Below are 13,936 nucleotides of genomic sequence, written 5' to 3'. Positions count from 1 at the left end.
TTATTTATGTAATATATAATATATTGTTTGGTTGGTATTACTTCATTTTTGGGATCTCCTCAATCAAACCATAAATTCCTAGAAGATAGAGATAATATTCTCTATTTCTGAATTCTCCACAAATCCTAACAATACACTCAGTACACAATAGGTACTAAATGAAGACATGTTGGGGAGATTCTTGAATGACTGTGCTCATAGCAATCTTTGTCTTACTGACCATATCATACTTTTTTCTTTATAAAAAGGGGCAAGAAACAGCCCAGGACTCTAAAACATAAGCACATTTAGAACCTTCCACCCTGTACATTCTAGGCTTCCATTTTGTTAAGATAAAGGGAGCATGTTTTTACTATCATTTTTTATTGGGACTGTCTGTTGGGGGAAGAGTTGTCATTCTGACCTCTCATTTTACAGAAGTAGGGTTTGCTACTATTTGAGGGGCAGGGGAAAACTGAAATCCATTTTTTCCTCCTTGCTTTGCTCTGGGAGAGAAAAACCAGATTCGTAGCCCTTCTCTGTCTACAAGTATACCACAATTCTGCCCAAAGAATAGAAATAAAGCAATCTCAGAGACTGCAAATGAAAAATCATCCTTGGAGGAAAAGGAGAGGAAATGGACCCCTATGGATTTCAAATGTTTAAAGGAGGTTGCTTAAAGTTCCTGGCTAAACTCCATGCCAGTCTTGGTAATAGTCTAACAGATTCATCCATCTTCAATTCCACTTGGCTTGCTCTTCCATCACTGCCACCCTCGCAGACAGCGAGTGCACACATGCACATCTATCTATATATATGCGGAAGTTTTAATCTACACTACCCTCCATTCCAATCCACCCAGCCCGGCTCTGTACAGAGTGAAGCTATTGACCCTGCAAAGTAGCAAGGAGATGAATTTGATGACCCAGACCGGAGTTTTTAAACCATTTCAGCAAGGTCTAGAATCAAAGGAAAGTACAATTTATTCAGCACTTAGTAAAGTCCTTTTACTTTGGAACAGAGTGCACACACTGAAAATAGACTCCTACTGCCACGCAGATAAAATAAACCTGTCAACCACTACTGTCAAATCACTAGTCACCTCGATTAAATAAAGGAAACTTTAGCATCTCTCAGCATCTGAGAATTCCACCAAGATTATAAGCCCATAAAAGCATTATGAAGGAAAGAAAACTAAAGTAATGGGTTCTGTTGAAAATGTCATCAGAGGAAATCATTTTACATAATTAGCAAATGCTAATAATAGTTCTGCACGAGGAACCAACACACTCTTCCCCCACACAGTCAAGGCACAGTGGTGGCAAGAAGTCTAAAAGATACAAGCCAAGGCCATACTCTTATTTGACAGGACCCCTGGACAAAAACATATTCTTGTCTCTAAGGAGGTTTTTTTCTTTTTTCTTTTCTCTCTCTTTCCTTTTGCCACTTTTCAATACATTATCCACAGGAGAAATTTGGATCTGTTGTGCTTCTATGAACTTTCAATGAGTCATTGACAATTTTTTGAGAAATTATTTGATGCTTAGCTCTCTTGAAAGACTAATAAAAATATTCTGGAAGGCAGAAGGCAATATATAAGCAGGCTGTCTCACTCATAGGGCCTGACCTTAGGTGAGACCTATGTGGCAAAGGCTCCAGAACCATCAGGTTGTTCATCCCATCTTTTTGTTAGTTTGCTTGTTTTGTTTGAGACGGACTCTCACTTGGTCGCCCAGGCTGGAGTGCAGTGGCACGATCTCCACTCACTGCAACCTTCGCCTCCTGGGTTCAAGCAATTCTCCTGTCTCTGCCTCCCAAGTAGCTAGGATTACAGGTGCCTGCCACTGCACCCAACTAATTTTTGTATTGTTAGTAGAGATGGGGTTTCATCATGTTGGCCAGGCTGGTCTCGAACTCCTGACCTCAAGTGATCCACCTGCATCAGCCTCCCAAAGTGCTGGGATTACAGGCGTGAGCCACGGCACCTGGCCTCATGTTTATAAATGGTCAGTGATAACCAAGAGGCAGTAGGCAAAAGATTCCTTGATGCTAAGCTATTAAGCTGGCCTAAATAAATGCATCTATTTTCCTGAGTCTTTGCTATTGTTTTCTGTAGATTTTGTTTATAATGATCAGACCTACTTAGCTTTCACATTCCCTGTGGCTGACATGAAAAGATAGTAGAAATCTAAAAATGAAAAACTAAAAGTTGGCTAAAAGAGACATACTGCCTCTGACAGGGCTCAAAACACAATACCCGAAATTGTGGCACCTTGACGTGCTGAGTGCTTTGAAACAAAAGACACTGGAAGGGCCTCAGAAGCAAGGTCTCTCTGGCCTTCTCTTACCTGCTCCCTCATCCCTCTGTCTCTGCCCTGCAGTGAGTTATAGAAACCAGAATTCCTCTTCCCTAAGTGGGGTCATCGAAACTAGAATCCTATCCCTTAAAGCCAGCCATAAAACCTAGAAAATTCACACTCTCTCTTCTCCTTTGAAGACTCTCATTTCAGAGGGTTCTGTCCTATAACCAGGGGAAGGAATGCTACATAGAGAGGCCAAGAAGAATCTGAACAGACAGGCCTTGCTAGGTTTCCCCTCAATCTATTCCCATTAGATCATACCCTTTGTCTAACCATGTTTCTACACAGCTGTCCATTCTTCATCAACATAAGCATAAAACTAGTTTTCCCTTTCATTTCTAAAGGCCCCCCCATCTCAGAAAACTTTGATTAAGTAAATTTCTTATCCTCTTCTCTTGTTAACCTGTCTTTTGTTATGGGCTGTGACCCTTATAATAGATGAGGAAAAGTATCGCATCATTCTGCCCCTGCACCTCCGAATCCTATAAGCCCAAAACAAATTGTGAGCAATAGTTTAGTCATCAAGTAACTTCCTTTTGAGCCCTCCTGAAAGCATTATGCTTGTTGGCATGAAGTTTTTCTGGCCAACATCTCCCCATCCCAAACATTTTTGTCTACATTGCTACCTCTTCACATACAGACATTTAAATTTCCTTTTATTCACTTTCACTTTGGCGATTTAATGAGTTGAAGCAAAACACTCTGTATTTATGTCTTCTGTGGAAACGTATTTTATGATATCTCAGGCTAAAAATGTTTTAAATAATTTAAAAAAACACAGTTTTTCTTTCGGTCTTTTTCTTCTTTTTTGGATGGCATACATTGAGCTGCTTCATGGAGATATACAGAAAAATCAATTGCTAAGCATAAAATGCAACTCACATTTAGGAAACTGCAAATGATAACTAATTATAATAAGTTGCTATATAAATTACTTTGTGACAGTCCCAGCAATCAATTTCAAACACAAATAGACCAAGCCCCTGGTTGGAGAGGAAGATGAGTACCTAACAACTGTGTCAATAAAAATAATGGCAAGATTGCCAACAATAGTCAAAGTAGAAAGGTTATCATCTCTAAGCAAGTTTCACAGCAAATTTCCTCTTCATTTTTTTTCTTTTTGCTTTCTTTCTTTTACACATTTCAAGTTCAATGTTTAATATGGCAAGCTAACTATGGCATATCTTCAAGACTATAGTATAAGCATCAGGAAATAAATAATTCAGGGACATTCACTAGGCTTGCAATTATCTTGCAAAATGTGCGTGCAGACAAGTTGAAATGAGATCCTCCACATGATAGCTATTGGCAAGGCAGGGTTATGGTAGATGTGCTGGATTATCTGTTTTACCATTACCACCATCTGCTTTCTTCTAAGGTTTTCTCTGTAGCTTCGAGGGAGAACTGAAAACTACATCGGAGAATCGCCTTCAGTGAATCAGCCTAGGTTAGAGTTGGGCCAAAGAGAGATGCTGGAGTATGATTTGGAAATCTAGAGAGATGGAGGAGCAGGGCAACGCATGGATAACAGCAATGACTGAAACAGTCTCCAGGTGAACGTGAGAATCCCCTCACTGGTGCTTCAGATAGAGAAAGTCAGTGGGAGACACCCAGATGTTCCTGTGATCCACAGAAACTTTCCAGCAAGCTCCTGAGAATCACTGGTTCAGTGCTGAGGTTGTGACTCTGGGTGGTGGCAGCACCTCTAATTCCTTCCATTAAAACTCTTCATTACTGGAATACATACAGTGCCTTCTATTTTCCCTGTCTGAATCCAGACTGACATGGAGCATTCACCCTTTTTGTTTTCAAATTTTCTCCACTCCTGATTTTATTGTTCTGTAATTTAAAAATACAGAATGGCAGGGCAGGAGTAATGCAATTCTTTTGACAGAGGCAGGCAAGTGGGATGCTGTAGCTCCTAGCAGCCTTAGCACAGGCTTTGGAAACGCATGGCAGTGGTGAACATTTCCAGGCCATGCCTCTCCCTCTACTTTTTTGACTCTTCCTTCCAGCTCAAGGCCACAGTTAGTCCTACCTACACTTGCTTCATACGCACTGGGTAAAGGACAAAGGTCAGGGGGACCTGAGAATTAAGGGCACAGGGCTTTGATTTTGTTTCCCTTGCCTGTTGTTGAGTTGCTCCATCATCCCCAGCAATTCTTGATGTCTCCCTCTGTTAAATGGGAAAAATATTTGCACTCCTCACTTTACAGGGTTACCCTGAGGATGATATAGTTTACATTCTAAATAGAAATGTTTTCCCCAAAAGACATAATGCCCTGTACAAATGTGAATTCTACTTCTAAGAGCTACCAGATAAAGAACGGCAATACCTGGCACGCTGGGGCATGTCCTGTACTCGTAATATATTTAAAGGGACATTTCTCCAACAGATATTTTAGCGCTCCTCATAACATGGACACAGCCAAGGATACAATATGTAGATTGCCACGAGGGAACAACTGAGATTACTGACACATTCCCATGTCCTCCTCATTCCAAAGATATGCTCCAACCCAGGGCAGCATTCTCAGAAAGAATTCAGGTGGACCATTCTAAATCCATGTGTGTACCACAATCTGTATCTTACTGAGAGTCTGACCCCTTCCTTGAGAGTTTCTGTTCTAGTAAAATAATTCCATCAGTTACTTCAATTCATCCTATTCCCTTCCCTACCGTCAAACCGCCAATGCTTGAAAACTACAACATTAAAATAATCAACTATCTAGAAGTTAGGCTTTGTGACTAAATGCTTTCTGGTAATGAATGAACACATATGACACCCATCCCTGATGGTTTGGGTTTATGAAAGCAACAGAATTGAGGTCTGAGGTCCACACAGCTGGACCTTTCCCTTTAGTGTGTTCACCCCCAAAGGAAGCAGGGTCTCCTTTCTCACATGCAATCAAGTTACCTCGCAGAGGTGACTAAGATACTCACCCTTCCCCTGGGTTCCTATTACTCAGCCTTTACTGAACAAATATATGTGGAGCGCCATTTAGGTAGGAGGCCCTGTGCCAGGCATTGCAGATAAAGTGGTGAACATATGTAATCACAACCACTCTTCCCAACAGCTTATGGCCTTTCTAGGAAGATAATCCCTGAACAGGGAACACTGGCCTAATATAAGTGTGTAGGGGGTATCAGGCAAGTTTCCTTTGGAGCTGTGATATGTAAGCTGATACCTGAAGAATGGGCAGTGTCACTGATGTCAAAGAGAAGATGAGGCTGGGCGTGGTGGCTCACACCTGTAGTCCCAGCACTTTGGGAGGCCGAGGCAGGTGAATCACAAGGTCAGGAGTTCGAGACCAGCCTGGTCAACATGGTGAAACCCTGTCTCTACTAAAGATACAAAAAATTAGCCAGGCATGGTGGCACACACCTGTAATCCCAGCTACTCAGGAGGCTGAGGCAGGAGAATCGCTTGAACCCAGGAGGCGGAGGTTGCAGTGAGCTAAGATTGTGCCATTGCACTCCAGCCTGGGTGACAGGGTGAGGCTCCATCTCAAAAAAAAAAAAAAAAAGATGATTTGGACTTACTGCTGCCTCTCAGGGAGTTTTCATTTATGAGGAGTTTAAGATACACATAACCTGACCTCTATCATACAAAGTAGAATATGAACAATTGCACCTAGAAGATAGAAACAAATATCAGACATACCTATAGAAAGAAGAAAATCAACATAACTCAGATCAGTAAAAGTTTCATGCAGGAAGCAAAATACGACATGTTACTATCCCTGTGATATATGGATTATCTACAAGCAACAGATGGAAAAATTGAGTCCCAGGTCTCCTGATCATTATTCTAAGCCCGGACTTCCTTTGCATTTGAATCTACAGTTTTTAGGACATGAATCTTGGACCTATCATAGTTGACATTGGAAGTTACATAAAAGGACAAGTAAAGGGAAAATGGCATGTACAGAAAAATAGCAATTTGCACATGAACTACTGCCCGCCAGTTTTTGTAGTTGTTGGTGTGGAAGGAAAAGAGATTGGGAACTCGATGAATAAAAAATTATTTGCAAATAGAACTTCCACTGAGGATTGTATAGACAAAAGTTTCAGACATCATGGAGAATTTCACTTGAGAAAGAATTGATGTAATTTGTCCTCACACCATGAAATGTCCCCTTCTGCATAAATGTTTGTAAGCTGTTTGCATGAAGGTATTAACAAATGACATTCAAATGTTTTCGTGATGTACATGATCAGAAACTTGAAATAATTCTTTTAAATACTAAAAAAATGAGATAGTATTAAGTGGTTTCATTTTAGTGCCAAAAAATAATGGCTTTCTCACTTGGGGAAAGCCAAGTTGGTTCAAGCCAAATTGGTTTATGCTAAGCTGAAATATATTAGTCTCACCTTTCTCCTACATAGATCAGTTCAATAATCCAGCTTTAATGAACTTCTTCGGTCTTCTCTCTATTGGTCTCCTTATGGCCATCAGCCCAAAGAACGTCATTTTATGATATGGACTTGCTTTTATCAACAACCAAGTCAGCACTGGTCAGGCAACCAACATGTTAAATGTGTAGGGATTTTCTTCAGTAAAATTGAGATGTCTGTGTTGGCTCTCTTTAAATAACGTCTTTACATTTCTCTCATTGATGTTAAGCCCTGATGTCATCCAAGAGCACTTATTTGAACTCTAACTACTTTAGGCATTTTTCCATATTCCAAATATTACTCCAAATATTTTAAAACTATATTGTGTTATATTTCCTTTCTTCAAGTCTCAGATTTTTTATATTACTGTTAAAAATGACAGATGATATTTGCCCTATTCCTAATGATTATCATCTATCTGATCATATCTCTCCATAGTGAAATCTCAATTTCAGGGCCAGATAAACTTTACAAGTGGCTGTGAGGTTTCTGAGACTTCAGTTTCTATGCAACTTATTCAATGACTCTAAAGTAAAAATACCCTTATTCAAATACAAGAAACCAATAAATAAACACATGAGGATATGAGGCTAATTTAAGGGTTAATTTGTTGCTCCATCTAGATGTGGTGTTATTTTAGGGAAATTCCCCCAAAAACAGTCTCGAAAGGGATGTATGCTTAAGACCTTCAAAAGGACATTCAGTGAAAGAGACCTGTTCATGCCCCTCAAAACATAGCAGGTTGGCAGCTGCTTATTCTCCCTGACTTTGAGCAAAATTGATTTTTCACAAAATTAACTAAAGTATATTTAAATGTAGAAAAGTTCTATTGATGCCCAAACACCAAACAGGCAACACAGGTCCAAGCCACAGACATCGGAAATCCTGCACTACTCTCTTCTTCGTTTCCTGCAGAATACAAGTATCCCATTTGCCCAGAGCCCAGACGGTGACTTGGAGGGTCAGATTCACTACTTTCTGAGCATCACCACAGCCTGTTCTTCCACCTGCTCATCCTGCAATGCTGCTGGGATGACAATGCTAGAATAGCCCCTGTTCACTTTCACCTTTACGTGTACAAGTGGAATTTCCTTCTTGGGGAAACAATATTTAAAACAGCCAACTTAGGGATAAGACATTTTCAAATGATATTTCATGTCAGTGTTCTGTCTGCTTTTGAAGCTGAAGACTCTAGAGATGGCAACAGACATGCAAGGCTTTGGAAAAACTGAGTAAACCAAATTAATATTTTGAAAATAAGAGAATTCAGCAAAAACTGCACATGGCTTCTCTCAATGTTGCCAGGCAAATTGGAATTCCTTTTAGTTATAACATAGAGTTCATTCATTTTGAAATTATAGCTGTTAATTGTTATATTCTCAAACAACGATACTTTTATAAATGTTAGTGAGTTTCCCAATTTCTCTCCATCACTAATACTGGAGTTAACATCTCCTTGATAATTTTTAAGTACTCTAATCTCTTTATTTAAAGAAAAAAAAATCACAAAATTATATTATACCGTAGATTTATTTGCCTCCTGAATAGACTGCTACTAAATTCTGTTTAATATGGGTTAAAATCACTACGTGTGACAGGTATGGTTTTCTCATCAAGGACTTAAAAAGCACTGTGTTCTTTCTAAAGTGCCGAGGCAGCAGTAATGAGCCAGAGCTCTGCACAGCCAAGTGTCCCTCCCTGCACCCACTGAGAGCAATAAAAAGCTGAGTTCCAACCTTGGTGACTGGTGAGTTCCCTGGAAGCAGAAGGCAAGGGCGTGTAGTGGCGCTCCGGGGAGCTGGCAACGTCCTCACTAGAAGCCTGTGTGACAAAAGCAAAGTCAACATGAAGCAACACCAAACACCAAATACCAAATACCCTCATTTACCAGACCTGTCTCCTTGGGATCTGAGCTTGGAGAAAATATTATTCACCAAGATACTTCTTAGGAAGCAAGAGCTGTTTTTGTTGAGATAATATTCTGGTAAGTGTTGGGTAAGATCCAAAGCTTTGAGGGGCCTCAGTACATATGGAATAGCTCTAAGAAAAGGGGGCAGTTTATGTGCTGAAATGAAAGGAGGGAGGAGGAAAAAGAGAGAGGCAGAAGACAGGAAAAGTTAAAGGCTTAGATTTCTATCAGGCCTTCACCCAGTAATTCCCACAAAGTAAAGGCTGGCTATGAGCAGATTTCTTTGGATACTAGTGAAGAGGTTAAGCTCTGCCCCCAGGATAAATGGGGAAAACCAGGGCTGACTTCCATGAGCCCAGTGGCATGAAAGACTTGGCAGAATGAAGTCACCATAGGAAAGGATATAAATTGTCTTGTGCTGTGTACTGGGGATTCTGGCTCAGTTTAACAACAGCAGTGAGAAATACGTCTGAAATTTGGATTTGGGATGTAGTGGTTATCAACAAATGTGTCACTCCAAGGCCTAAAAGAAAATAACATAACATACATCTAGGATGATGCTTTTTCACTGTACGCAGACAACTCTTTAACCATAGAACTGTGTCCAAGATGGCCCAGGCTGCTAAGGCTCTCTTTTCAGAACCCAACATCCTTGTGAGCTAAAGCCAAAAGAAAGTACTTCAGCTTGGGGTCAGCTATCACTCAGAACCAATGGCCAGTATGCCACACTCACAGTGTAGCTGCTAGTAGCAAGAAGCATTACCGCTGTAACTCTTAACTGAGATTCCTAAATCAAATGTAGCTTTTTTTTTTAATATCCCAAAAAGAACATCTGCTAGGATCAAAATCCGAAGCTAACAATCTTTCCAAGCTTCATGAAAAAGTAAATTTCATTAATGCTACATTTTTCTTTCCGGAGCGGGAAATACATTCTATGGGATATATTTGCCCTTCTAAAAGCAGGCCTTTTCTCCAAAGAGATTACCTATATTATAGGAATCAAAACTAAGTAGGAGATTAGACCTACTTGCTAGAAAAACCCTTTAAATTTCATTTCTGACATTTGAGACGTTTGACTAAGCGGCTTTCAGTGGAGACTTACAGGAAGAGTGTGAGTGGAGCAAAATCAGAAGCTCTGTCCCTAGGTAGAAAACAGTTTTCAGGTAGCATTTCTTCACTCCAGCTCCAAGGCAAATATATGGTGTTTAAATTTGGATCCAAGGCTATTGGGTCCACAAAAATAAAAGCTTAACCACCAAGAAAAACGTGTTTTAAAGTAGGTAAGACTTTTCCACTTTTTAGCACACTGCAAGAATGTAGAGCCCAAAATTATTAAAAATCAAATACTACAGTCACCAAGTGTCTCTCTATTGGGTATTCAAGGTCTCCTGTAATTTCTACCTGATGAATGAAACATGAGGATAGTGTCCTAAATAGGGCATCTATTTAATGCTTGAGGCAGGACATATGGGGTGAGGGTACAGGGGTCATCCTCCCTAGATCTATCATACTTCCTCCATAGGAAGCCATAGCTGTCAATATTTCTGCTCCATCTCATTGCTAAAAAAAAGACCCAAAAATCCAACATGAGTTTTAGTTTGTTGTGTAGTGATATTTCTTAGAACTTTTAATCTCAATTTGGGCTGTTGACAATTTGATGACAGCTTTTTTCTACAATTACTGGAACAAATGCTACCTTTTCAGAAACATCTCTGACTGTGCTACACATTAGAATTCTGTAACCAAGCGTAAAAGAGATATTTAGTTTTGTTTCGTACTGTAGGTAGAGCAAAAAATGGTGTGGCTTCTGTTGTTTTGCAGTCATCATTCTATGACCAGCACTTAATTACTTTCCTGCTCAGTGTCCATTGATAAACTCACATCATGGAAAATAATCCAGGAAAGAATGATTTTGCAAACTATGCCTTTTGGTGGGACTTCTATGGCTGGATGTTTAGGAAAACAACTACAAATCAATGATCCAACTACCAGCTCTTTGACTTGGCTTTTTTCAAAATGAAGCCCTTGTGATCCTTTCAACAGTGATGTTCACACTGGTTCTCTGAACCTTAGGATTAGATGTACAATTCAGAAAGACACAATTATCATAGGAAAGAAGTGGACAAGAAAATGTCTTAAATTTATACTGTATCTGCCAAAGAATAAAGAACTTGCCTTGAAACTGAGGCAGTACACCCATCGTATATTGAGTATGCAGTAATAGAAAATTTAAATAATGTTTTCTTTTACCTGGGTTAAGAAGATATGCCTAAAATGAGAATAAGCAAATTTGAGTAAATATGAATCTTCAAGACTATAAAGACTCTTAAATCTTTGAATCCTTGGCAAATGTGTTGTTGTTGTTGTTGAGACAGAATCTCACTCTCTTGCCCAGGCTGGAATACAGTGGCACGATCTCAACTCACTGCAACCGCTGCCTCCCTGGTTCAAGCAATTCTCATGCCTCAGCCTCCCGAGTAGCTGGGATTACAGGCACGTGCCATCATATCCAGCTAATTTTTGCATTTTTAGTAGAGATGGGGTTTTGCCATGTTGCCCAGGCTGGTCTCCAACTCCTGGCCTCAGGTGATCCACCTGCCTCGACCTCCAAAAGGGCTGGGATTACAGGCATGAGCCACCGCGCCTGGCTCTTGCCACATTTTCTAAATGCCTATGGCAAGGAATTATAGTTTTACATTTTACTTTTTAAATTCTCCTGTCAGGAAATATTTGCAACATCTACAATAAATTATTAGTATCCAAATTTAAAAAAAAAAAAAGAATGTCTTTAAATCAATAGAAAAATAGACAAAGGAAATGTCTGGAAATTCAAAGATGAGAAAACCTGAACAGTCAATAAACATAAGAGAAGTTGCTGAAATTTACTAGGACTAAGGGCAATGCAAATTAAAACAAGATACGATTTTTCCACTCATCATACTGACAAACTTTTAAGTCTCACAATAGCAGGTACTAGTGAGAACAAAGGAAAAAGAAACTGTTGTCTTCTCATTCCTTGCTGGTGGGAATGTACATTCGTTCAACTACTTTAAAGAGTAACTTAGCAATCTCTAATAAAATTGAAAATTGGTGCAGCAATTTCACTTAAAATATATACTCTACGGAAAATCTCACACAGGTCTGCAAATTGAGACATAAAACAATGTTTATTGCAGCATTATTTATAACAGAAGAAATTGGAATTAACTCAAATGTCTGTCGATGAGGAAAATAAATAAAAATAATGTTGTATATCAGTAAGACAGAATAATATTTAGTATTTAAGAGAAAAAAACCTGATTTCTATATCTTGCTTTGAATAGGTCTAAAAATTTAATACAGAGTGAAAATGCAAGTTGCAAAATGATAAATGTAATATAATATTTATGGAAATATAAAATTTGTTGATTTCATGTATGCAGGGAAACACCTAAAAATTATTTTAAAATGTACACTAAATTCATGAAAATGTTTGCTTCTGCCAAGGGGCAGTGTAGTAGGACTGGGGCTAGTGTGATGTGGAGAGAAAGGAACTTCAGCTGTATATATGATGTTCTTTCTTTCATTTAAAGAAGACTTAAAACAAATGTCAAAATATTAGAAACCACAAATTCTGGATGATCTCTACATGTGTTCATTATTTTTAAAAGTTTTCTACATTTTGGAATTTCTCAGACTTAAGCCTGAAATTTTTTTAAAAACACCAAAAGGCCCTATTTCTTTTCTAATCCATGCACTCCTATATTGACATGAACCCACAATGAGAGAAAAATTCCTGTAACAATTCTCTAGTACTTGTATAACATGGATGAATGCCACCTCTGATTGACTTTTTGTGATGAAATATCCCATTTCTGTTTCTTCTAGAGCTACTGAGAGTGAGCTCTAGAATAGAAAAAAGCAGATGATGGTAAATATGTATCCCCTTCCCCCGCAAGGCTTGAAACACTCATTCTGGCCTTATAAATCCTTCTGCTGAAGATACATCAAAGCATTCTGAAGGTTACTTGATTCTTCTCCTGCTCACGATCAAAGAGTTACTAATAATTTTTAAAACTCACATCAATAAAGGCAGTAGCCACTAATATACTGCACTCTGCAATATCCATAATGGAAAGAAGGAAGGTAGAACTTTGGCAACCCGCTTGGAAAAGATTCAATGCACATACAGTGTATTCTACAACAGACGTGCAAAGCGAGAATTTCACTCGGTGATTACCAAAACTGATAAATGCATAAAATTCAAGCCCCTTTCCAATAGGTGCATTCAATGAAAAACTACAGTCCGGTGGATATCTCTGAATGTCCTGGATGCACTGAAAGAACCTGATACAGACCACAGGAGGAGAGATTTGGCAGACTTCGAAACAAGAAGGGGGCAGCTACAAAGTTGTTTAATAGCCATAAATCTCCCACTGTTTTTCACAAAATACCATCTAAGACCACAGCTCTACAACTCATTCCCCATCACTCAGCTCAAGTGGAGCGCTTTGGCATGCTCGCTCACCCTTAAATCATACACCACAGAAAGTGATCCTGGGTCTGGGAAATAGTCAGCCTCTTTCAAGCAAAAGCAATCTTCACTTTTCATCACAATTCATCCCCTGAAACCATGGTATAAAGCTGACTCTTCTAAAAACATTTATTTTCTCTCATAAGAAAAAGCATCACTCATTTAGTTATCAAGTATTTAATAACCACCTACTATATGCCAGGCCCTGTGCTAAGAATACCAAGAAAAATAAAATGAGAACATTGGTTGCATTGCTGGGTCATAAAAAAAAACATACTATGATTAATAGTGGTTATGAAGAGCCACCAACTCATAGTGTGTCCCTCACACTCCCATACTCTGGATCATTACAGAATGTTGTCCCTGACTTTGATTATGACATCTAAACACCTATAACAGTAGTTACGCCCTTACTCATTTCTCACTCATACTAACAGAGAGCTTTGGAGATTAACTATATTAACTTTCTGAAATTAATTATACAATTAACCCTTGTGCTCAACATACTGCCAAAAAATACAGGAAGAAGTCAATTCATGATAATAGGATGGGTAAAACATTTTAAAGTCAAAGATAAAACTACATACCATGGGCTGGGCGCAGTGGCTCACGCCTGTAATCCCAGCACTTTGGGAGGCCGAGACGGGTGGATCACGAGGTCAGGAGATCGAGACCATCCTGGTTAACATGGTGAAACCCTGTCTCCACTAAAAATACAAAAACTTCTCCAGGCATGGTGGCGGGTGCCTGTAGTCCCAGCTATTCTGGAGGCTAAGG

The 13,936-nt window shown here is 39.2% G+C and overlaps 1 protein-coding gene across 3 annotated transcripts in view; it reads right to left on the bottom strand.

Moving 5' to 3' along the window:
- LRMDA (leucine rich melanocyte differentiation associated) overlaps nucleotides 1-13,936 on the bottom strand; it is a 1,128,545-nt gene that overhangs the window by 227,210 nt on the left and 887,399 nt on the right. For all 3 annotated transcript variants that reach the window (NR_131178.2, NM_001305581.2, NM_032024.5), the window contains one exon: nucleotides 8,474-8,558. Coding sequence is in view for 2 of the 3 variants with exons in the window: in NM_001305581.2 (NP_001292510.1) it covers nucleotides 8,474-8,558 (85 nt within the window). In the remaining variant the exon portion in view is untranslated. The remainder of the gene's footprint in view (nucleotides 1-8,473; nucleotides 8,559-13,936) is intronic.

Source organism: Homo sapiens, chromosome 10 (assembly GCF_000001405.40).
Source record: "Homo sapiens chromosome 10, GRCh38.p14 Primary Assembly".
NCBI classification, from domain to species: domain Eukaryota; kingdom Metazoa; phylum Chordata; class Mammalia; order Primates; family Hominidae; genus Homo; species Homo sapiens.
Note: the sequence above shows the minus strand (reverse complement) of the source record. Positions and strands in the feature narration are given on the sequence as shown.